The sequence below is a fragment of the Homo sapiens genome, chromosome 1 (genome assembly GCF_000001405.40).
Source record: "Homo sapiens chromosome 1, GRCh38.p14 Primary Assembly".
Classification (NCBI taxonomy): Eukaryota; Metazoa; Chordata; class Mammalia; order Primates; family Hominidae; genus Homo; species Homo sapiens.
Genome location: NC_000001.11, coordinates 86,009,005 through 86,034,741, shown reverse-complemented (window position 1 = coordinate 86,034,741; position 25,737 = coordinate 86,009,005). Strand labels below are relative to the sequence as shown.

The 25,737-nt window shown below is 35.7% G+C and overlaps 1 protein-coding gene across 20 annotated transcripts in view, besides 1 other annotated feature; it reads left to right on the top strand.

Moving 5' to 3' along the window:
- COL24A1 (collagen type XXIV alpha 1 chain) overlaps positions 1 to 25,737 on the top strand; it is a 427,752-nt gene that overhangs the window by 122,243 nt on the left and 279,772 nt on the right. For 18 of the 20 annotated variants that reach the window (NR_146340.2, NR_146344.1, NR_146343.1 and 15 more), the window contains 7 exons: positions 819 to 872; positions 2,820 to 2,864; positions 11,735 to 11,788; positions 11,865 to 11,909; positions 12,151 to 12,204; positions 12,449 to 12,502; positions 17,538 to 17,591. Coding sequence is in view for 14 of the 20 variants with exons in the window: in XM_047417004.1 (XP_047272960.1) it covers positions 819 to 872; positions 2,820 to 2,864; positions 11,735 to 11,788; positions 11,865 to 11,909; positions 12,151 to 12,204; positions 12,449 to 12,502; positions 17,538 to 17,591 (360 nt within the window). In the remaining 6 variants the exon portion in view is untranslated. The remainder of the gene's footprint in view (positions 1 to 818; positions 873 to 2,819; positions 2,865 to 11,734; positions 11,789 to 11,864; positions 11,910 to 12,150; positions 12,205 to 12,448; positions 12,503 to 17,537; positions 17,592 to 25,737) is intronic. The other 2 variants (NR_146341.2, NR_146342.2) reach the window with 1 other exon arrangement.
- Positions 18,139 to 18,328: an enhancer, noted in NCBI's record as "active region_1275". NCBI's record gives its function as "activates an Ori minimal core promoter by ATAC-STARR-seq in GM12878 lymphoblastoid cells {active_cell/tissue: GM12878}" and the evidence as "EXISTENCE:reporter gene assay evidence [ECO:0000049][PMID:35858748]".

Sequence of the window (25,737 nt, the reverse complement as noted above, 5' to 3'; positions counted from 1 at the left end):
TTATTTTACCATCCTTCATAGTTTTACCATGCAGAATTCTCAATAGGCATTTGGGAAGCTTTTAATTTTCACCTCATTTTAAATTTGTAGTATTTATGTGTATTATTCGTTTCCTTAATAAAACTGTACTTAAAGGACTTTTTGTTTTACATGTATGTCTTGGAATGATGATTTAAAGTATTCAGTATAGCATAGTTGAAAAACATGGACTCTAGAATCGGTCTGCCTCCATTCACATCTCAGTCCCACCCATTTTTAATGGTCTAACCTTGAGCAAGTGACCTACACTCTCTGTGCTTTAACTTCCTCAACAACAATGTGAGAATATTAGTATCTATTGAATAGACCTGTTATGAAGATGAAATGAAGTGTGTATATATAATTATGTGCATAAACCCTTTAGCACATGGCAAGTGCTTAATAATACTAGCTATTTTATTCTCTATGGGGTGAGTATAGGAATAGTTTGGAATAGCAGAGATAACTGAAGATTGTTCAGCCAGAAATCTTCATTGTTTTTCCTTTCATTTGGTGATTTTTTATGTATGATGAACAAACTTCTCCAATTTTGTTTTCTGTATATGTTATGTGGCATATAAAATAATTTTTATAACATATAGAAATACTGTATTTCGTTTTTTATTTTTTGAAATATTGTATTTAAAATCAATTAAGCGTGTTATGCAAAAGAATGTTTGTTGCATTACAGTTTAAGAGTTAGGAAATTAATATTTTCTATTACTAAATTCTTTGTTAGAAAATACAGCAAAAATGAATTATTTATATATGTTGGCATTCTTCCTCTTTCCCTGTGACAGGGTTTTCCAGGTGACTTTGGAGACAGAGGCCCTGCTGGTCTTGATGGCAGTCCTGTGAGTACATTATGTTGGTTCAGCCTTGCATTCTAACATCATTCATACTTCATAGCACTGCACTTACAGTCCTTATTATCATATTTGTGAATAAACACTATTGGAAAAACAATCTCCACACCACTGTGCACATTCCAGTTTGTGATTTTTCAGCTTAGGAAATTAACCAAAAATATTTCAAATTTCATCATGACATTCAATCTTTAAATTAATTATTTTGATGATGTTAAGTATAACTGCTTAAGTAAAATATTAAAAATATGTGATCACAATACTGTCTCTTATACATGAAAGTACTAACAAGCCTTATATAAAAATTTTACACTCAGCGATTGCTCTTTGGACTCAAACCTGTCATTGATCCACCTTACTTCTTAGTGTTTTATAGAAAATTATTCTACTTTGGGATTATTTAGCTGTCAATGTTCAGATTGAGAAAGAGTTACTATTCTAAAATTAGTTTAATTATATCATCAAAGAATGATGATGGATTGCTATTTTTTGGCGCTAGGTAGAAAAGCTTTAGTTTTTGCTCTTAAAAACCATCCAATAGCTATTCCCCAATCTTAAGCCATTCACATATTCTTTTCATAAGATTTTAAAGTGAGTTAGAAAAAAACACAAAATCTCTGTAGCCTAAATTGGGAATAGTTCCAATAATTACACGTAAGTAAATCACTAGCATGAAGAGTTTAAAATAGTTTATTTTTCTTCTTTTTTACTTCTCTTTTCCAAATTAAAACTATATTAGCTCATTCAGTGAATTCAGCCAAGACTGCATTTGTTACAAGGCATAGCAGATAAAAGTAGAACTGATTTTCAAATAAATTGTTAAAAACTTGAATGTTGTTTTAAGTGGAATGTTTACCATTTTTCTTGCATATGATTCTGAGGAGCTTCCCATTTCAAGCATAATAAAGTAGACATTATTTATTTTTAATGCCATTTGTGCACTTGTGTACCTAGTGTGAAGCCATTTTACATAATTTTTTGTCAGTTACTATCCATGAAGTCTGTTAAGACTCCTAGAATATTTAAAGTTTTCTTTTTTGAAATCTGCTCTTCATTTAAAATATAATAATATTTCTTCAGGAGCATTTTGAGTTTTTAAAATCTTTAAAATACAATAGTCAACTGGATATATTTAGTTTACTGGTTTATAATTCTCTATAGTATATTCTCTGCCTTTGTTTCCAAACAGAATTTGAAATGCAAAAAAAGAAGGACATTCATGTACTTTGTGCCTTGTAAATAATGTGACAGTGACATAAAGTGAATTAGGAATTATCTTAAAGACTATAAAGTGTAATGACAATGAGTTCAAAAGACCAATCACAAATCAGCTGGAAAAATTAATAATGATCATGAAAAATCTGATACTTATATAAATAATTTAACAGTATTGAAAATTTTATACATTTTTATGGTGCCTTTACATATGACAAATTTCATTGTGATATTTACAGTGAGAACAAATATTGGTATTTCTATTTTAATGAGAAAAATGAAGATTAGAGAATTTAAATAATGTACTTCAAAAGAGTCCATAGTGTTTTAAACCGTCTGAAAATGTTTTTCTAACCCTACGTGCTGACCACCTGTCTTTTCATAGAATGGATAGCATAATTAAGTGTACAGTGTTGATTATTGATAGGATTTACTTCCTTGGTTAAATACATAGGAGGCAGAGGGGACTCTGCTTAAGCTAGGTGGTAGTCCTGGCATCCAAAAGCATTTAGCCAAGGGCACTTGTGAAGAACATAAATGGCCACCATAGGTTTGTGCTTCTCAGGAGGATGCATAGATTAGGGGAGTTTCAGAAGTTAGCTATAGTAGAAGGTACATTTTGATGTATTCTTAGCTAGAAAGTTTTGTGTTTATCTTCAGAAATACCCTTAGTAGTTGGGAATCAAATTTAATAAGTATTGCAAATTTCTTTTACAATAGGGACTTGTAGGTGGCACTGGTCCTCCGGGGTTTCCTGGGCTTAGAGTGAGTATCACTAAATATCATCATTCTTAAGAAAATATTTTATTGTGCAATTTATATGTGTTAGATGTGTTTTTGAAACTTAGGGAAATGAGAGGTTTTACTGTCATTGTTGGTTATCAACCTTGATTAAATGTATTTTTTTCAACCAGATATGAATAATTAGACCAGTAGTATAAGTCAAAAAATTAATTGTATTTTATGATAAGAAAAAATAATGATATATTTTTATAGACCTATATGTATGTATTTGTACCTGTGCGCTAAAGGATACTTAAGACAAAGTTTCCTCAAAAGCATAAGACATAGAAGACCCTCTTCTTTCCTTTTTAAAAAATTGTTAATTATTTTCAATACATAATAGCTGTACATATTAAGGGGGTACATGTGATGTTTGTTACAAGCAAAAATGTGTAATGATCAAATTTGAATAATTGGTGCTTGTATCACCTCAAGCACTTATTATTTCTTTGTGTTAGGAACATTCTAATTTCACTCTTTTATTTTGAAATCTGTGATCAACTGTTGTTAAAAATAGCCACTCTGTTGTGCTGTGGAATACTAGATCTTATTCTTTCTACTGTATTTTTGTACCTATTTATCATACCTTTTATAACCCCCACTCCTACCCTTCTCATATATTTAGCTCCCACATATTTGTGAGAACATGTGTTAGTTACCTTTCTGTGCCTGGCTTATATCACTAATGTCTTCCAGTTCCATTCCTGTTGTTGCAAATGACAGAATCTCATTCTTTTTTATAGCTGAATAATATTCTATTGTGTGTATGTACCACATTTTCTTCATTCATCTACTGATGGATACTTAAGTTGATTCTGTATTTTGGCTATTGTGAATAGTGCTGCAATAAACATGGGAGTGCAAATATCTGTTCAGTATGCTGATAGCCTTTCTTTCAGTCTTCTTTCCCTTACCTTTAGCTGTCCCAAAGCACAAGGTGACAGCTTGGTCAAAGAAGTCACGGCTAGGCATGGTGGCTCATGCCTATGATCCCAGCACTTTAGGAGGCCAAGGCAGGAGGGTTACTTGAGCTTAGGAGTTTGAGACCAAGCCTGGGCAAGATGATGAGATCCCAATGCTACAACAACAACAACAAAAAAAAAAAAAAAGAAAGAAAAAAGAAAATTAGCCTGGCCCACTGTGGCAGCATGGCAGCTCTGGTGGAGCCCCCTCCCTGCCATTTAGTTTCCTTCTGCCAAGTGGCTGCAGGCTGCCCTTCAAATCTTCATTTGTCCCTTTTCACTTCTTGCAAAGCAAACGTGGGTTTGAGGGTCTGTTGGAAATGGCCTTTGATGACCAAAGATACTAGAGTGTGTGTGCTTTGTCCTGTTTTGTGATGAATGAGAAATGCAGACTTCCAGCTCTTTTGTGAAATGTGAGACAGACCTAAGAAGTAGGTCATCCAGGATAGGAGTGGTTCAGTGTTGGGGGTAGGCAGTCACCTAGCCATGCTCCACCAGGCCACCAGTGCATATTTGGCTGGTGATCTTCCAAGTGCATGAGACGTGCTGTTCACTGATTCTCCACCCCAGTTGGTGGCCTCCAAAATGGCAGCAGCACCCCCAGGGCCCTGTCTTCAGCATGTTACAAAGCCTCAGAGTGGAAATTCTTGCTAAGGCTTTATGTGGATGTTTTTCTTCCATGGCTTGAAGGGGACACTGGTACTGTAAGTTTTTGACCTTATGCTCTGTGTAGTAAAAAAGATTTTGGGTTTTTTTTTCTTTTGTTTTTGAGAGGGTTGCGTTTTGTTTTTGTTTCCTTTTGTTTTCGTTTTGGCCTTTCCTCTTTCTCTTTTCATGTAGACCAGATATTTGAAAGGGCAGATGATGGCTAAAGGTATAATGTGCAACTTGTTTATATACTATTTTCGGAAACTTACCTTGGATAGGAAGTGGAATTGTGGATTCTCCAGGCTGGTGCTGGTACACTCAGCCTTCGCCCTTTCCCTCCGGTTCAGTACCTATTGTTTCTCCTTTCAAATATGTGATTGTGCTAGCTCTTTCCATAGGGAAGAATTCTCCTTATTTAAATAAAAAACGTTGAAAAAAATAAAAATAAAGCTGAAAAAATGTTTTAATTAGCCAAGTGAGGTAGAGCACACCTGTAGTCTCTGCTGTTTAGGAGGCTGAGGTGAGAGCATCTCCTGAGCTCAGGAGTTAGAGGCAGCAGTGAGCTATGATCATGCTGCTGCACTCCAGCCTAGGTGATGAAGCAAGACCCCATCTCTCTAAAAAAAAAAAAAAAAAAATCAAATAAATAAAAATAAATAAGTCAGGAGCTTAGTTATTGGAACTGTGGTAAAATTTAAGTCAGCATAAGCTTTAACTTGCCATCTTGGGATAACATGAGTATGGGATTTAGAGTCAAAGAACCTGTGTGAGTCTGAAACATTTAAACTTTTCTCTAACATAATGGTAAGATTTGTAGTAGTAGTAATAATAAAATTACTGAGGGCACCTCACATTTGTTTACTATTTTCAGTGGACTAGCCACAATTGTTAAGTCATTCCATTCTCAGACCAACCCATGACTATTTAGCTGATAAGTGTTTGAGCCCAGATTTGAAGCCAGGTGATCTAAATCCAGAGTCCAGAATTTCGTTGGTCTGTACCACCTCCTTAAAACTTATACTCCCTTATGTGTATATTATCTACCTTATGAGATTTCTTTAGTCCTTTCTGAGAAACTCTGTGTGATGTTTTTTTTTTTCCTGAGAACTTAGAATAGGGTTAAACCTGTAGATATTAGTCAGTGGGTAGAGTAAGGAAGTAGGCAAAAGGAGTTAGATTCCAAAGATGCTCTTCATGCAGTTTTTATTTAATCTATTAGCATGGAGTTGATTAGCTAAAAAGCTTCTGTTGTTACTGTCAAGATTAAGACCAAATTTTTTAAATATGGCCCAAGATATCTAGTCTGGTTTAGTTCTTACCCACATGTCCATGACATACTATTTGTATACTAGCAAAGCTGTTAATTCTCAGATGCTATGCAGCATCTTTGCTACAAGGTTTTGCACATGTTTGTCTACCTGAAACACTCTATCTCTACTTTTCTGCTCCAAAACTTAGCACACTGTCTGGCACATAAAAGTACTCAGTAAAAATAAGTGGATCTTCTGTATTTTCTCTTTCTCCATTCACCTTTCAGTTCATGGGAAGAGATTCTACAGAAAAGGAAATGGCTAATGATAACTGTATTAGTCCATTCTCACACAGCTATGAAGAAATACCTGAGACTGCGTAATTTATAAAGGAAAGAGGTTTAATTGACTCACAGTTCCACATTGCTGGGGAGGCCTCAGGAAACTTACAATCATGGTGGAAGACAAAGGAAAAGCAGGTGCCTTCTGTAGAGGGTAGCAGAGTGAATGCAAACAGGGGAAATGCCAGATGCTTATAAAACCATGAGATCTCGTGAGCCTCACTTACTATCATGGGAACAGCATGGGGCAGCCATCTCCATGATCCAATTATGTCCACCTGGTCCTGCCCTTGGCATGTGGGGGTTATGGGAATTATAATTCAAGATGAGATTTTGGGTGGGGCCATAGCCAAACCATATCATTCTGCCACTGGCTCCTCCCAAATCTCATGTCCTCACATTTCAAAACACAATCATGCCTTTCCGACAGTCCCCCAAAGTTCTAGCTCATTCCAGCGTTAACCCAAAAGTCTAAGTCCAAAGTCTTATCTGAGACAAGGCAAGTCCTTCCATCTATGAACCTGTAAAATTGAAAGCAGTTAGTTACCTCCTAGATACAATGGGGGTACAGGCATTGGGTAAATACTCCCATTCCAAATAGGAGATATTGGCCAAAACAAAGGGGCTACAGGCTCCATGAAAATCCAAAATCAAGTAGGGCAGTCATTAAAACTTAAAATTCCAAAATGATCTCAATTTGACTCCGTGTCTCACATCCAGGTCACACTGATGTAGGAGGTGGGTTCCCACAGCCTTGGGCAGCACCACCCTGTAGCTTTAAAGGGTAAAGACCCCCACCCAGCTGCCTTCATGGTCTGGCATTGAGTGCCTGTGGCTTTTCCAGGTGAATGGTGCAAGCTGTTCGTGGATCTACCATTCTGGGGTCTGGAAGATGGTGGCCCTCTTCTCACAGCTCCACTAAAAAGTGCCCTAGTGGGGACTCTGTGTGGGGCCTCTGACCCTACATTTCCCTTCTACACTGTCCTAGCAGAGATTCTCCATGAGGGTGTCACCCCTGCAGCAAACTTCTGCCTGGACATCCAGGCATTTCCTGACATCCTGTGAAATCTAGGCAGAGGTTCCCAAACCTCAATTATTGACTTCTGTGCACCTGCAGGCTCAACACCATGTGTAAGTAGCCAAGGCTTGGGGCTTGCACCCTCTGAAGCACCGGCCTGAGCTCTGTGTTGACCCCTTTTAGCCACAGCTGGGATTCAGGGCACCAAGTCCTGAGACTGCACAAAGCAGCAAGGCTCTAGGCCCAGCCCAAAAACCTTTTTTTTCTCCTAGGCCTCTGGGCCTGTGATAGGAGGGGGCTGCTGTGAAGATCTCTGACACTCCCTGGAGACATTTTCCCCATTGTCTTGGGGATTAACACTTGGCTTCTCATTACTTACCCAGATTTCTGCAGCTGACTTTAATTTCTCCTCAGAAAATCAGTTTTTCTTTTCTATTGCATTCTCATGCTGCAAATTTTCTGAACTTTTTTATACTTTGCTTCCCTTTTAAACATAAGTTCCAATTCCAAACTCTTTGTGAATGCATAAAACTGAATGCTTTTAAGAGCATCCAAGACACCTCTTGAATGCTTTGCTGCTTAAAAATTTCTTCCGCCAGATATCCTAAATCATCTCTCTCAAGTTCAAAGTTCCACAGAACTTTAGGGCAGGGCAAAATGCCACCAGTCTGTTAGCTAAAGCATAGCAAGAGTCACCCTTACTGTAGTTCCTGGGAAGTTTTTCATCTTACCCTGAGACCACCTCAGCTTGGACTTCATTGTCCAAATCACTATCAGGATTTTGATAAAAGCCATTCAATAAGTCTCTAGGAAGTTCCAAACTTTCCCACATCTTCCTGTCTTCTTCTGAGCCCTCCACACTGTTCCAGCCTCTGCCTGTTACCCAGTTCCAAAGTTGCTTTCACATTTCCAGGTATCTTTATAGCAGCAACCATTCTCTGCAGTACCAGTTTACTGTAATAGCCAGTTCTCACACCACTGTGAAGAAATATCCGAGACTGGGTAATTTATAAAGGAAAGAGATTTAATTGACTCACAGTTCTGCATTGCTGGGGTGACCTCAGGAAACTTACAGTCATGTTGGAAGGCAAAGGAGAAGCAGGCACTTCTTCACAGGGTGGCAGGACGGAGTGAGTGCAACAAGGGAAATGCCAGATGCTTATAAAACCATCAGATTTCATGAGCCTCACTCACTATCATGAGAATAGCATGGGGGAATCCTCCCCAATGATCTGATTATGTCCACCTGGTCCTGCCTTTGACATGTGGGGATTATGGAGACTACAATTCAGATGAAATTTTGGGTGGGGACACACCCAAACCATATCAGATAGTAAGAGTCATCTTTGTAGTCCTCATCTCTTCTAAACTGATATAGATGGTCCTTTCTACCTTTCAAAGTAGTTTTATATACATATCTTATTTGCTCCTCAATGAGTTGTAAAGTAGATAAAGCAGGTATTGTTACTTCCATTTTACATTCATTACTTTTTAAAATTAAAACAATGTGAGCACCTACTAAATAGCTGAACTAACTGCTAGGCCTAATAATATGAACAAGTTAAAATTCCTATTTTTGGCAACATTACAATCTAATGGCATAGAAGGAAAAATAAGTAGTGTCATATACTGTGATTACTGCTATAATTGATTAAATGTAAAACCACTGAAAAGGAGCAATTTCTGTTATCTCAGAAAGTCAGAGTAGGCTTCACAAAGGAGATATTTTTGGAGCTATATCTTGAAGATTGTATATGAATGGGGTGGGGTGAAAGGGGGAAAAGCTTTCTTTAGGTACAAAAATGCTGTGTTCAAATACACAGAAGATGGGGAAAAATGAATGTTTGGGACTGGAAAGAGGAGTAGTGGGATTGTAGCATAGGAAGTAAGGGCTTGGGAGCAGAATGGAAGGAATTGAGGTTTTGAAAGTAATTGGGAAGGATTATGAAGACCCTTTATATTGCATAGTAAACAACTTGTCTGCTTGCCCGGAGCAGCAGCCTCTGCTTTATCTCTCAGGTGTTCCCTTCCAGCAGGTATAGTTTCTGATAAGAGATGCTATTGCTTTATCTAAATTATTTTTTCCATGCAGTTGGTTGTCATTGTTATATGCTTTCTTAGACTAGTGACAATGTGTATCACGTGTGAGTATGGTGGGTGTGATTTAAAAGCACCATGTGGAACTCACAGTCCTTTCTACAGTATACCATATGAACCCTTATTAATTGGCCAGTGACTGCTCTTTTTAATACAAATAACTTATCCTCTGGGTCTCTCTATTTCTTTGACTTAACTCAGAAGTTCTCAGAGGAGCTGTGTGGGAGGCTCCTCTGTCTCTGATGCCATATCCCAAACACCCTCAACAAGGCTCCCACGCATGAAAGTATTTCTTCTGTCTGTTCCATGTTCTTATGGAAGATGAGTTGGTAGTTAGGGAATGCTGAAGGACTTTCAGGTTACCTTGGTAGAACTGAGAACTGAGTTGCTTTCAGAAGGCTATAGTTTCTCAGGACTAGGATTTCCACTCAATTTGTGACATGCTGTTTCTTGGAAATTTCAATTCCATAGTATTCAATTTTACTTTATAGTTCTTTATTTTTCTAAGTTCATTATAATATATTTTTCATATCTCCCAATACTTACTGTTATGTGATTTTTTCATGTAGAGTCACTGAAAAGTAAAATAGGATATTATATATACAAAGTACATTCATCTGAAGATGCTAGTAATATACTTACTGAAAAAAGTTAAGAATATTATTTTATCTATGAAGAAAACAAAAGGACACAAAGAAAGATTTGTGTGTGTGTTTGTTAAGATAGTCCTTTCCATACTTACTTGGATTACTTTTGCATAATTTCCAAACAGAGATATTTTTGTATTTTTCTAACCTATCATAAGTTTTAAAGCTATGAACTTTGAATAAACTAGCCACTGTAATCATAAGCACAAGTTTTCCTATTGACATAATTTGAAATTACAAGCATCATGTATTAATATTGCATATCTATTAAGTTGGAAAGTATTACCCTTTGCCTCTAACGGTGTTATATATTTCAGGATTAAACATGTTAGAAATAATTTATCTTAGCTGTATTTCACAGACTTTAAGACTCATCCATATGATGTCTTATTTTCCATTCTGAAATTTGTATTATATAAATGTAGACAATTAGAAATGCTGTTATGTTAGGATATTGAGCTCTAGAAATCACCATTTCAAATTAATCCCTTCAGTATTCATTCTACACTTTATTTCAGAACCATTATCTGCCAGTTATTATGTTGGGTCTGGGAAATAAAAAAAATGAATGAAACGTGTTTCCGCTGTCACAAAATGCACAGACTAGGAAGGCAGGAAAAAAAAAGTACAGTGCCATGTACTAAGTAGCGTAGTAGAAGTGCATTCTAGTACTGGTAACTGTCTTGTCAAAGGTTCTGAGCATTTGGTAAGGGAGAGCTATTCAGAAAATGAAAGACAGTCCACTGCAGCTAGAATGGAGGATTTCGGGGAGGGAGAAGTAAAGTGGAAGGGAAATGAGGACAATGGAAGGAAAGGAGACTGGAAAGTTTGATGGAAGCCTAATAGAGAGGGCTTAGGATGCTATCCTAAGAAATTAGAATTCTAACTACAAGAGGTAACATTCTTAGCATTTCACAAATGCAACTTTAAGAGTTCCTTAATATTTAGAAACTAGAAAGAGAAGTTTGAACTAACTTGGATTTCCATTATAAAGAGTAGTAAGGAAGCCAGGCAAAGAAAGATCGTGAGAAAAAGAAGAAAAAGGAGACCTCAGTGACACAGAAATTATAACTGATCCCAAACCACCAAGAAGTGCCATTTTGTTTTTCAAATTTTTCTTTCATACCCTTATGTTGCTATTGCCCTTTGTCTTCTAAGATGACATATTGAAGTTTTTTCTAAGTCTCTTGCTTGCAGAAGATAATAGTGGTAATGTTTCTGAAGAATTAGAGCATTAAATTGAGAACCTTGATGTTAGAGATTATGTCTTTTTTCTCTTTTTTTCTTCAACAGTGTCTCGTACATATTATGCTTAGTAAATATTAAATGATGAATAAACGAGATAAGCCCAGAAGAGTAGAGCTTTTTGTTTGCCTCTGAGTTTATCCCTGAAATTATGATAAATTTTCTCATTCTGCAAATTTGAAATTATAAAATCAAATCATTAGGATGTCTGGCACATAGTAACTCCTCAAAAAATATTTGCTGAATAAGTGGGTGAAATAAAACTCTAAGACAATCAAATGAAGTATCTGTTGACTAGTTCCTGGGAATATGGCACTAAAATATTTTTTAAAGGTCTCATCTAGTTGGAGAAATATTGCAAGATGAATGTCATGGACAGTATTATAGGAGCTCAAAGGAGGAAAGAATCTCTGTGGACTAGACAAATATGAAAAGGTTTCAGAAAAATGATGGACTTCACTAAGGTTTGAAATATTGGTATGATTTATAAATGTGGAGAGAAAAATAAGTTGTTGAAGAACAAGGCACGTGTAGGAGCTTAGTGAGTTGGCTGTTTTGGGTTCATTAATTTATTAATTCTGCCACATTTTCTTTCTAATCCTAATGAATGCTTAATGATGCATTTCTTTCTTACTGTTTTCCAGGGCAGTGTTGGCCCTGTGGGACCAATTGGACCTGCTGGAATTCCTGGCCCAATGGTATGGTTCTATTTGTATAATGGATATTTCCCTTTAATCTGTCTATGATATCACAAAATGTCACCTTTTTTTGTAGGGCCTTTCAGGGAATAAAGGACTACCTGGAATCAAAGGTGATAAGGTGATTTAAATATTAATATTATAAAAATAATTTTTATCACATTTGTCTTTTACTTTTCAGTCAACACAATTTATGAAATATTTTGTTTTTATGGAGTCTAATTTGTAGTATCAATTATATTAGTTTTCCTCAGAAGTAAGAAAAATAGAGAAATTATTCTTCTACAATGAATATTTGCTTTCTTATAATATTGCCATGTTTGTGATACATAAGTATCTTTGCATGAAATTGTGCTTTCCAGGGTGAACAAGGCACAGCAGGAGAGCTAGGAGAACCCGGGTATCCTGGAGACAAGGTAATGTTTATACCATTAATTTTATGTAAATATGAAAAAGTGTAAATTCAAAAGAAAGAACTGCTTATTATTTTATCCATGTATTGTGTTAGAATGTGGTATCAATATGGTTTTAAGTTCTTGTTTGAAACTTTTGTCTCAATATTTTAGCATACTTTATGAAATTTTTTAGCAGTTTGTAAATAGTGGTATGTCTGCCTTTTGTGGTATAATAACTTTCTCTTCTGTTATTCTCTTCTCTTAGGGTGCTGTTGGTTTACCAGGACCACCAGGGATGAGAGGAAAGTCAGGGCCTTCAGTAGGTTTGAACTTTTGCTTTGCTCTTTGTAATTGACAGAGTGCATGTCATGGCATGAGTCTCGACACTGTTGATCTAAGTAGGGTATAAGCCTACTGAGCATTTGTCTCCTTAGTTTTAGAATATAGCAAATCCCTCAGGTATTCAGTTCACATTCCATAGACTTTTGGACTTCCCTCTACTCCCAACCCTAGGCCAAAGCCAAGTTTCTGAGAGTCCTAAAGATCTTGGTCATATTATTCTACTGAATAATTTAATATAGACAATATTTAAATTAAAACAATAGGCTTTGAAGCCAGAAAATGTAAAGCACCTTAAATAATATTTTAACTTTTCAAAATATCAATTTTATTAAGGAAACAGTCTGAAGAAAAGGTAGCATGTTTGCACTCTCTTGTGGACCAAAATATTCTAAATCCTTATTTTTTTTCCTGACCCTTGGACATCAATTAGACGAAAGAAAAAGATACCTTATATTGCTGTTAACATAAAACTCAAAAAATTATAAATCTAAAATTACTTAATAATTAAAGCTATTTAAATAAAATGGTTAAAACTTGAGAAAATATATTTCTAAATATTAAAAATCATAATTATTATAGCTAACATTTGCTGAGTATCTACACAATACCAGGCAGTATTCTAAGGACTATACATCTAAATTAATCTTCACAACAATCCTACAAAGTTGGTACTATTATTATTCCTATTTTTTATATTAAGAAAATTGAGACACAGTGTTAGAAAACATCTAAGGTCACCTGGGTGGCCACCTACTTAGTAGGTGACCATTCAGAAAAACCTAGGCAATCAGGTATGTCAGAGCTCATGCGTTTAGCTACTGTGCCATACTGTTTTAGGGTTTAATATTTTAAGATGGTTTTAGGAGTTTAATATTGATTACAACTCTGTGAAGGTAAAGGTGATTACAGATAGAAAAAATTAGATATAGGATTCAATTCTATGAAAAAGGTAGAGATGATTATACATACAAAAAATACATATAGGATTATAATTTATTAATGTCACATTAAAATATACATTAAAAAATAATTGTGTTATGTTCCTGAGCAGTTCATTGTGTTCCCTCTAACTCTACCCTTCCATCTCAGGATTATTTATTTTTTTAATCTCAGGAAGCAGTATTAAATTACAGAACTTTACCCCATTCTTTGTGACTTCTAACAGTGACAGTATTTTATATACATCTCTTAGGAATTATTTAACCCAAAGAACAATTTTTGGCATCTATTCGATGAAATGTTAGTGGTGACCTTTGCTTATACTAGTTCTTTGCCCTGGGCTTATTGCCATAAGGGCTTAACCTAATAAGCCGTGTACCCTCCCTTGTACCCTTGAGTTGAATCTCAGAAACTCTAGAGTGCATAAATTGGATCATGAGACTAGGTCATGAAGCTAACAAACAACTTCTGTTTTTCAAGGATGGTTCTAAACCATATAAAGACTCTCTGATATTTGCAGTGATTGGCAAAATAAGATACTTTTTACATATTCTTTTTTTTAAATAATGTGACATTTTTCTAGCGCTTGACCAAATAGGATGAAATGATACAATACATGCTCTAAGGGCACTATTAACTAATAAATAATATAAGTATTTTTTTGTGCTTTACAATTAATTTTTTGAGAAAACTAGAGTCAAGTATCGTGCTTACACAAGGCAAACCATTTTAGTGTTCCTTACTCTTTGATTAAATTTATATTTATAACATGTTGATGGGAGTAAAAAAATCATTGGCTAGAGAGACAAAGACCTGGATTCTGGTCCCAGCTCTGGCACTTAACCTACTGGCTATCACCTTGGGTATTTAACCACCATGGTACCAGCTTCTCATGTTTAAAATGAAAGTTAGGGCCACGTGCGGTGGCTCACGCCTGTAATCCCAGCACTTTGGGCAGCTGAGGTGGGTGGATCACGAGGTCAGGAGTTCGAGACCACCCTGACCAACATGGTGAAACCCTGTCTCTACTAAAAATACAAAAATTACCCAGGCATAGTGGCAGGCACCTGTAGTCCCAGCTCCTCAGGAGGCTGAGGCAGGAGAATCGCTTGAATCCAGAAGGCAGAGGTTGCAGTAAGTCAAGATTGCGCCACTGGACTCCAGCTTGAGCGACAGAGTGAGACTCCATCTCAAAAAAAAAAAAAAAAAAAAAAAAGAAAGAATGAAAAAAGAAAGTTTAGGCCATATCATATGTAAGGTTCCTTATAGTCCTGTGATTATGATGTTTTTCTCTTTTAGACATAGTACTTACTAATATTCCTCCTAGTGTAAGCTAAAGAAAAGGCAGAGAGCCTGTTTCACCTTTAACACATTATCTTAAAGCCCTTAGTATTTTTTTCCTGAAAGAAGTCACAATAAATGCTAATGATGTTCTTTTAGGGCAGGGAGCAAGAGACAGTGAGAGTGAGGCTTTTACTTACTCATTTTACACCTTTCTGTACTGTTCTAATAAAGAAAATTAATGTCAGCAGGAATTACTTTGGTAGGGAGATAATTGATTTTTTTTTATTTGTTTTATCAAACTTTTGAAAACTACTTTGGGCCGAAGATAAGATAAGCATTCATGAATTAAAATTAGTGAGATAGCCTTGTATTTTGTCTCTTGTTGTATTTATTACTTGTTTGTATCTTTTTGTTTTAATTAAAAAAAAAATTTTTAGAGACAGGGCCTCCCTCTGTTGCTCAGGATAGAGTGTAATGGTGCCATCACAGCTCACTGCAGTCTCCAACTCTTGGGGTCAAGTGGTCCTTCCACCTCAGCCTCTCAAGTAGCAAGGACTGCAGGTCCACCACCATACCCAGCTAATTAAAAAAAAAAAAAATTGTAGAAACCAGGTCTTGCTTTGTTGCCCAGGTTAGTCTTAAACTCCTGGCCTCAAGCAATCCTCTTACCTCGGCCTCCTAGAATGTGGGATTATAGGTGTGAGCCACTGCACCTGGCTGTATATATTATTAATAGAAAAACTGTAGGTGTTTGACCAGGAAACCTTTCCTTCTTATAGAAGGAGACACTTGTTTGATGAAAAGTTGCTTATGCAGAATCAGTTATTATATTAAGAAACAAACTCCCACATTCAATTATATAAGTTAATGCCTATCTAAAATGTTTGTTTACTGTCGTGGAAAGAATGCCAACATCATAAGGATGTCTTCCCTATTTTATAGATCCTACTTTTAATTTTCTGTTACCTAAGAGGTTGGTGTTACTAACTAATATTGTTTCCAAGTAGATCTAAGTTGTAACATGAAATAATATTTTCAAGATATAAGAAGGAATGTCCTGATTTGGAAAGTTGTTACAGTTCTTGAATAGGGAAGCTTTTGCTCTACAAGTATTTTAAAAAAAAATAGAGAAAACTACCACTCTGAGGTTGTTCGTAAATACACTTTCCTTTAGACCAAGAAAACAAACACAATTGTTATGCCCTATCCATTTTTTAGCTAGGGATTTTTGTCATTTGTAGAGGTTTATTTAATATTAGTTATCTATAAGTTACTTAAAATGTCAGCTTTTATAAAGAAAAATTGACATTCATAGGAAATTTGCAATCAAAATTTTACAAAACAAAGAATTATTCTGAAGATCAAATAAAATCATTACACAATTTCTGTTTTTAAATATGTGATTGTCAATCAGCTTTTCTGAAAACAAAGCCCTAGGGTATTGCTATTTTATCCTCACTGCTTAGAAATTTAGCTTTGTGGTTGGATTTTGCCACTAGAGGGCTCCAATGAGAGCCCCTCGCCCCTTTCTCTATCTCTTTAAAGAGAGATGCTTGTCATTTTAAGAACTTCAGTATACTGATTCTGATGGATCACAGATTTTGTTTTTGTTTATTTGGAAAGGGAAACTTAAATGAGCCTTTCCATAATATTTCACTGCCTTTCTCTGGATTTGATTGCAGTAGTTTATGGTGTCCTGTTTTATGTCCAGATACCTCAGCACTGAGAATGAATTAAGTGCATATTGGAAACTGTGCTTTAGGTTTTGGAAAATGGGCAATCCCGTATTGTAACTTGCAAGTTTAGGTGATCTGAGGCTTATTTAAATTAAATTTGAAGCTCATATAGAAACTTAATATGACAGAAATAATGAATGCAATAGTTTTTCTTATGAAAATGGATATATCAGACTACTGTCCTCCCTTTCCAAACTTTCATCTCTCGAGAGCATTGCTAGCCTTCTCTAGTTTCAGGCTTTATACCTACTTCTCTTTCCTGTCACTTTCTCCTTTAACCCTGATTTCACATCTTTATCATGAATGTCAGAAACTAGCTTCAGAGATACTGAAACTGAATCCTTAAAACTTCAATTAAAGGATGAAAACAGTCTAGGAATTCTATGTGTGAGCCAGGAAAGCAGAAAGGGTGTGAAGAGAAGGAATAATGATTGTAAAATTGGTTGACATTTAATGAGTACTTCATATGTCAGACATTGTGCTTAGCACTTTACATATATTATCTAATTTAACTCTCCAATGACTCTTTGAGAATGTTAGTACTATAATTATTATTTCTATTTTATTGATGAGAAAACTGAGGCTTAGAGAGATTAAGCAACAAGGATTTCAATCCAGGTGAGTCTTAATTACTAATTCAGGCCACTTACAGTATCAAAGGAGAGAGGAATTTTCAGAGACAGCCCTGGGACTGTGGTTATTTATAAAAGCAGTTTCTCCTCTAGAATTCCCTATCTTGTTGAGTCCAGCTTTATTGTCTTATCTCTGTGAAACACATATAAACATACAATTCTTTTCTTGATTTGAGCACTTGACTCATTAATTTGTTTGTATCACTTAACACTTGAGTGAATGTATATTAAACCCATAAACATCTTATTTAAAAACTTTTACAGTAATGATGGTTACAAATTTTTCTAAAAAGTCATTACAACCTTGTTTGACATGATAATATAATGACTGACTGCTATTTGTTTACCATATGCCTGTTTCTTCTTTTAATTGTGTTTATTAAGTTTATGTTTATACTTTGATCCTCCCCCCCCATTTTAGGGCCAAACAGGTGACCCAGGACTCCAAGGACCATCTGGCCCTCCAGGACCAGAGGTAAAATATTGGTGGAAAGTTAATAAATTTGAAACAAAATGGTGGAAATTAAACTTGTTTGATAAAACATGTTTCAACATAGCAAGCTTAAGAAAGATCCTCTTTAAAGTTTAGATCTCCGTAAATAGTTTGGACTACATTTTTTCTGTTATGTCACGAGGTATGCAACAGGGATCCTAGGGAAACAGAAAAGTGCATTAGCCACATTTTCACACTGATTAGGATCACAGCTGATTTATTTGTTCTGCACAGCTATTAATAACAAGTACTTGAGGCTTGGAACCAAATTTCAGGAAAGAAACTCCACTGAATTATTAATGCAAAATGTTTCCAATTATTGCTATATCCATATATCATTTAAATCTCATACAGTATTCTAAAATAAATACAATTAAGTCTGTAGTACATATATCAAATTTGTTTGTATATACTTTAAAATTTTTGACTTTGGTTTAATGGTTGATATACAGTGGCCTTCTTTTCTAAAAGTCTATATAGAACATAAGCTTCTGAGATAAAACATTTGGATTTTAAAAAATCCTACTATGAGTCAGACCTATGAGTCAAAGATATACTACATGGAGATGAAACTTCTGAAGCTCACTCTAGTTTCAAAAATATATGCCCATATTGATATGTGTGTGCCTGTGTGTGCCTACACACACACACATACACGCAAGCACACACATATCAGTGTACATACATATTTAATTTAGAGTCATAGATTCAGCAGAAGGCTGAGAAAATAATTGGCATCAGAATAAATAAGTTAGAGCAATAATGTCATAGTGTCAGAGTAGTAGGCAGAGTTTCTAAGACTACTGCTGTACTGATGCTGTCTCCCTCTCTTTGTAAACCATAAGATCTACTTCTTACTTCACAGCTGTCCTTCAAGGTTGGCTGATTTCTTTAGAAAATGCCTATTCTTACTTACTGTATGATTTCAAAACACATTGGGTATTGACAGTTCAAAAATCTAAAAAGCAGGCTGGGCATGGTGCAATCCCAGCACTTTGGGAGGCTGATGTGAGAGGATCGCCTTGAGTCCAGGAGTTCTAGACCAGCCCTAGCAACATAGTGAGACCCTGTTGCTAAAAAAAAAAAAGAAAAAATGTTTTAAAAGTTAGCCAGGCATGGTGGCTCACACCTGTAGTCCCAGCTACTCGGGAGGCTGAGGTAGGATGATCACTTGAGCCTGGGGTGGCACCACTGCACTTCAGCCTGGGTGACAAAATGAGACCCCGTCTCCAAAAAAAAAAAAAAAAAAGAAAAAGTAGAGTCTTCAAAACTTCATTGTAGCTAGTTTTACCAATAGAGAGGTAATAGGAAGTAAAATACAGTAGTATATTGATCTCAGCATTCTGATAGGAAGGAAATTGAGTAATTAAAACTTCAGATTAGTATAAGCTTCTCCATATGAGCCTACAATTTTTATTTTAATCATTTTTAATGAAAGCTTTCCTGGAATGAATAGTATTTACTGCCTTGTCATACTGAGGATACAGAATCTATTTTAATTTTCATTATCTTTAAAGGTTATTATTATGACTGTATTGTCCTATTATTACTGCAGTTACAGGTGATATGTACACTAGAAATGGCTATGTTACCTCCTTGCTATAAGTATGGTTTTGAGTCATTTTTCTTCTTTCTCATAAAGCTTGGTTAAAGGATGCATGCGCCATGTTTTCACTTACTACTTGGTCTTCTAAAGATGTTTATTTATTTCTCTCTTCCCTTTAAAATTTCATAATATCCATCAACACTGAAAACATTATCTCATTATCTCTGATTTTAGCACCACTAATATAAGGTCCTGAGCCCCAGCATTTTCAGAGTACCAATCCTTCCTCTTCACCTGTATTAAGTTTTTTCATGGGGCTAAAAATGTAACCTGTACTCTGTCAAGAACTGATGCTAGATTGTTTTGGGAAATGGGGCCTAATTCAAGGAGCATAACTTTTTCTTGATCATAAAAATATAGTACATAGGCAACTATATGTGAGACAACACTTTTATCCAAATCCTTGTCAACATTAGGCTTTTAATAAACTTGCAGGTCCAAGAATTTTAAATAGTATATTTGGTAGCAAACCAAGCCTGAAAACTTTCTGCTTGTATAGTGGATGAATTTTACTCAGGTAAAGGGTCTTATGCATTGTGCTAAATTCAGACTTTATCCTGTATGCGTTAACCAAAGATATTTAAGCAAGAGAAAGGAATTATCAGAGTTGTGCTTTATGCAAAGCAGCAGGGGGAAGGATAAAAGAGAAGAAGGGAAGGAGGAGTGCCAAGGAGATGAACTAAAGGTTATTTAGAAGGATGGTGCAGCAGAGCAGGGGATTGATGATGAGGTCCTGTGACAATAGAAAGGAAAGGATAGCTTAAAGAGAGAACTAGAAAATATAATTCACAATACATAAAACAGTTCATTCCAATTGTAAGAGAGAGGAATAAAAGGCAATTTGAACACTTTTTGCTTGAAAAGTTGGGTAGAATGTGGATCATCATTCCAAAAATAGAAAATAGGAAAAGGAGGAGGAGGAGAAGGAAGAGATTCAGAGTGGCAGGAAATAATGTTTTGGCTTTGAATCTGTTAGGGTTCAAAGGCCTTTAGGAGAAATAGAAAATTAGTCTAATAAGAGTCTTAAAACTGTAGGCCTAAAGCTCAGAAAAGTAGACTAGAGATACATATTTATATAATCATCTGCATAAAGGTATTAGATGAAGCAATGTAACAGATGAATTAAAACAAAGTTTAAAAATACTACACCTGGAAACTCACCCCTAGAAGTCTACAGTCTTTGTCTACAGTGCAGTTAAGTTTTAAGTTGATAATAAAAAGTCAGTAAAATAAATTTTGGTAACTGAAAAATACATTCCTTAGTAACTTATGGTCTGGAGAGAAGAAATATCACAATGGAAATTAGAAAATATTTAGAAGTGAATGAGAACGAATCAGTATAAAAACTTGAGTGTTGCAGCTGAAGCAACATTTAGAGGACAACTTATATACAAATTCATTTCTCTTGAAAGCAAGGAAGGTAAAAAATAAATGAGTTATACACAGCATAACTGTAGGGATTTGTTTCAAAAGAAGAAAGAAGTTGAAAGAGGTCAGATAGGATAGTCTCTGTTTTCTTAGTCTTGAAACTAAATCTCAAGAGTAAGGGGACTGTGCAGGAGAAAGGAGCTGCAGGAGTTCTTTGAAAAGTAAGTGAGAGAGTGACTGCGGACTAATAAAATAATTTCTGAGTTGTTGGTTAAGGTAATTTTTGGATAAGGTTTTTTGTTTGTTTTTGTTTATGTTTTTTTGAGACACAGTTTCACTCTCTCGCCCAGGCTGGAATGCAGTGGTGCCGTCTGGGCTCATTGCAACCTCTGCCTCCCAGGTTGAAGCGATTCTCCTGCCTCAGCCTCCCAAGTAGCTGGGATTACAGGTGCCTGCCACCACACCTGGCTAATTTTTGTATTTTTAGTAGAGACGGGGTTTTGCCATGTTGACTAAGCTGGTCTCAAACTCCTGACCTCAGGTGATCCACCTGCCTTGGCCTCCCAAAATGCTGGGATTATAGGCATGAGCCACCATGTCTGGCCCAGTTTTTGGTTAGTTTGAAATGTAAGAGGCTTTTGCCTGAAATATAGTCACAAAGCTCTGTACATTTTGTTGTAAGGGGATTTCAGATTTGAATACGATCTTCCCACTGCCAAAAGGATGACACATGATCAGTTATATGATTCTCCTTTCTTTTGGGTTAGAACATATTAATTATTCAAAAGGAGGGTAGCAATTCATTGTATTGTGTCATTTCCACTATTCAGTATAGATGGATGTTACAATGTGAAAGCATAATTCAGTGAAAGTAATTCTATTAGGGGCCAAAATGATGAGACCTACATATATACTTCTATGATAGCTTTTGTTAATAACTGGGTGATAAAAGGTTTAAGTTAATATCTGAAAATTACAGAATTTTGGGGTTAACATCTTCTGAGTGAGAATTGAGGAGTTAGTCTGAGTACCTTGAGCAAATTACTTCAATTCCCTGGGCCTTTCCTCATCTGTAAAACAGAAATATTAATAGTACCAACCTCATAAAGTTGTTTTATTACACACATTAATACATGTAAAACACTTCAGCATGTAGTTAATAGGAAATGTTCAGTATGTATTAGCTGCCACCACCACCACCACCATAATTGAAGACAGGACACATTGTCTAGACCTAAGGCAGAAAAGCCTGGCCAGTTCAAGATCAGAAAGAATGCCAATGTAACTGGAGTGAGCAGAATGAATGAAGAGGAAAGTGGTATACAATGAAGTTGGAAAAGTAGGCAGGAGATATATCATGTATGCCCTCATAGAGGATAGTGAGAAGTTTGGATTTGGTTCTAAGTGCAGCAGGAAGCCATGAGAGGCTTTAAATAGGGCAGAGGCATGATCTGATCTGATTTATGCTTTTCAAAGGTTACTCTGGCTGCTGTGTGAACATAAGACTGTGGGGAGAAACAGTGCTGAAAGTAGGGACATGATTTTTTATTTCTATTTTATTTTATTTTTTGAGACAGAGTCTCACTCTGTTGCCCAGGCTGGAGTGCAGTGGTGCAACCTCGGCTCACTGCAACCTCCGCCTCCTGGGTTCAAGCAATTCTCCTGCCTCAGCCTCCCAGGTAGCTGGGATTACAGGCGCATGCCACCACACCAGGCTTATTTTTTGTATTTTTAGTTGAGATGGGATTTCACTGTGTTAGCCGGGATAGTCTTGATCTCCTGACCTCGTGATCTGCCCACCTCGGCCTCCCAAAGTGCTGGGATTACAGGGGTGAGCCACCGCACCTGGCCAGTAGGGCAATGATTTAAGGAGATTATTTTACTTATCTAAGCAGAGAACTTATTTGAATGAATAGTAATTTTAGTTTTTGATAATAAAACTGCCAGCTATAGAAAGTGATTTATTAACCTTTACTGGGCATCACTATCACCTGTAGAACTTTTTTTAAATTTATTTTTATTTATTTTTTTTATTTTTAAGGCTGGGCATGGTGGCTTATGCTTGTAATCCCAGCACTTTGGGTGGCTACAATGAGAAGATTGCTTGAGCCTAGGAGTTCAAGACCAGCCTGGAGCAACATAGTGAGGCTTTGTCTCTACTAAAAAGAAAAAACACACACAGATTGCCAGGGCCAATCTCAAAAATGTTGAATCAGAATCATTGGGGGTTGCTCCACAGGTGATTAACAGCAATAATAAAGAACCACATCTTATTTTTCTGTTCTTTATGGCAGCAGAACCTTTATCCAATAGAATGAGAGTGCTTTCAACCCAGTAAGGTATAAGATCACAAAAGAAGTCAGAACATTCTCCTTGTTCTCTGCATGGAAATTATCATCTGATTCTGTTTTAGCAGCCTGGGAAAATTATTACTACTATTTACTGCAGCAAAGCGTGGCACAGAGATAGCATTCTATAAATGTTTTTAAAAACAAAGTGATAAAAGAAAGACACTAATAAGCTTTGCTATGGATTTTTTCCATTGACATTTAATTTGCACAGGAGCTGGAACAGAGAAGGAGAGCTGGATTGCCTTTGCAGTACAGGGTGAATGTGATTCAAAAGCACAAGTTTTATAGTACCAAGAGCATATGAAGGAGCCTGAGATAAGAGTAGGAGAAGGGCAGGTAACTTAGAAGATAGTCTCACAGACAGAAAAAATAATCTGAGTTAGCCCAGTGAACTAATTATACATGTTGATATTTTACAGTCATAAAATATCTTGCAATTGTATTTATTAATCATTATTATTTCCACCGAGTAATTAGGTTAAATTCTATAAGGCTAAAATCAGAGGTTAAGCCTTCCTCAGTAGCCACCACCGTTACCACTTTAGAGTAGTGTAATCAGTGGTTAAGCTGAGTTTATTCATGGATAACTACAAGGTGCAGAAAAATAATTCATATTTTTTTTCTTTAAAACCATGTAAGGAAACTCATATTAAAAGTATAATTATATTAAACTTTAATTTTAACTGTACTTTCTTCCAGAAAAGTTAGAGAAATTATTCTACAGGGCAAAGCTATATAGGACAAAGTTAGATAAGTGTACTACCCTCCCTACCTTTCTGTCCTGTCCTCATCCTCTTATTCTTTTTCAGTGTTCTCACCTGCCCCCTGAGGTATCCAATCTCAGTAGTTTCTGGTGTATCTTTCTTGTGAGTTGTGTATGTGTGTATGTTTTGCTTGTTTAAGGGGCAGATGTATGTGTATTTTCTTACACTTTTTTATTACATAAAAGGTTACATACCACAGATACTTTTTGACACTCTGCTTTTTTTATTTAAAAATATATCCTGGAAATCATATCAATTCATGGAGCTCTTTATGTAATTTTGTAGCTTCATAGTACTTCATTGTGTGGATGTATCAGTTTATTCAATCATTCTCCTACATATGGAAATTTAGTTTGTTTCCAGCATTTTGCAATGAAAAACACTCCTGCAGTGAATAAACTTGTGCTTCTTATGTATTTCTATACGGTTGGAGGTGTATCTTCATGGTGAATTGCTAGAATTGGATTGCTATGTCGAAAGAAGATATTGTTAGATATTGCCAAATTCCTCTCTGAAAGAATTGCATTCCAATCAACATTTCTCTAATTATGACATTTTTCTCACTATAAGTGACACTGAACATCTTTTTTTTGTTTGAGGACTGTTTTATAATCTTTCTTGCAAAAGTCTGTTTATGTTTTTTGCCCATTTTTCTACTAGGTATTTGGTCATTTTACTCTAAATGTTTAAGAATTATTTGGGTATTAGGGAAATTAGCCCTTTACCTTTGATAACTATTACAAGTATTTTTTCCCAATTTGTCACTTGTCTTTTGACTTTGTTTGTAGTGTTTTTTGACAGAAAGCAGCTTTACAATTTTACATAGCCAAATTTGTCAGTCTTTTAGGGAATTTGGATTTTGAGTCATCATTAGAGAACCTTTTCCTATATCCAGATTTTAAAGAAATCACCTATGTTTTCTTCTGATTCTTGACTAGTTTCCTTTTTTATATTTAGGTCTCTGATACATTAAAAGTTTTTTTTGTGTGTGTGAATGTTGTGATTTATGTATTTCATTTCACATTTTTCTAAATGGCTAATCAGTTTTCTCAGAATCATTCGTTAAACAATCTGTCTTTGCTTCAGTATCATAGTTTATTTTAAACTATGCTACCTATATCATACACAGTCACACACTGCATGCATTGTTTTGGTCAACGATGGGCCTCATATAAAACCCTAGTCCCATAAGATTATAACAGAACTGAAAAATTTGTATCACCTGGTGATGTCATATAATGCCTTCATAACATCATTACTCACATGTTTTGTGGTGATGCTGTTGTAAACAAACCTACTGTGTTGTCAGTCATATAAAAGTGTACAGTAATGCCCTAGGCCTTCACATTCACTCACTACTGACTTACTAACTCACTCAGAGCAACTTCTGATCCTGTTGGCCCCAGTCATGGTAAGTGCCCTATACAGATGTACCATTTTTTATCTTTTATACTACATTTTTACTGTACCATTTCTATGTTTATATAGATTTAGATACACAAATACCAATGTGTTACAATTGCCTACAGTATTTAGTACAGTAACATACTGTACAGGTTTGTAGCCTAGAAGCAATAGGCTATACCATATAGCTTAGGTTTGTAGTAGACTATACTATCTAGGTCTGTGGAAGTATACTCTATGATGTTCACACAATGACAAAATTGCCTGACAAAATGTTTCTCAGAACAAATACCCATCATTAAGTGACACATGATTGTACTAAATTTCTACTTCTTGGATCTATGTCTGTACTTTATTTTCTATTCCATCTGAGTGGTTGTCTGTTCATGCACAAGTCCTACCTTGTTCTAATGATAGAAACTTTATGGTGTGTTGAGATGTCTGGAAAGGTTTTAAGTCCTCTGAGCTTTTTTCAGTGTTTTCCTGGCTACATTTGCATTCTTGTTTTTCCATATAAACCTTAACATCAATCTATCTAGCTTCATTAAAAAATATTGTTAGTATTTTTCTTGGCTTCAACTTACACTTATAAATTAAGAGAGCCCTGGGATATTTATGATGTTGACTCAGTCTTT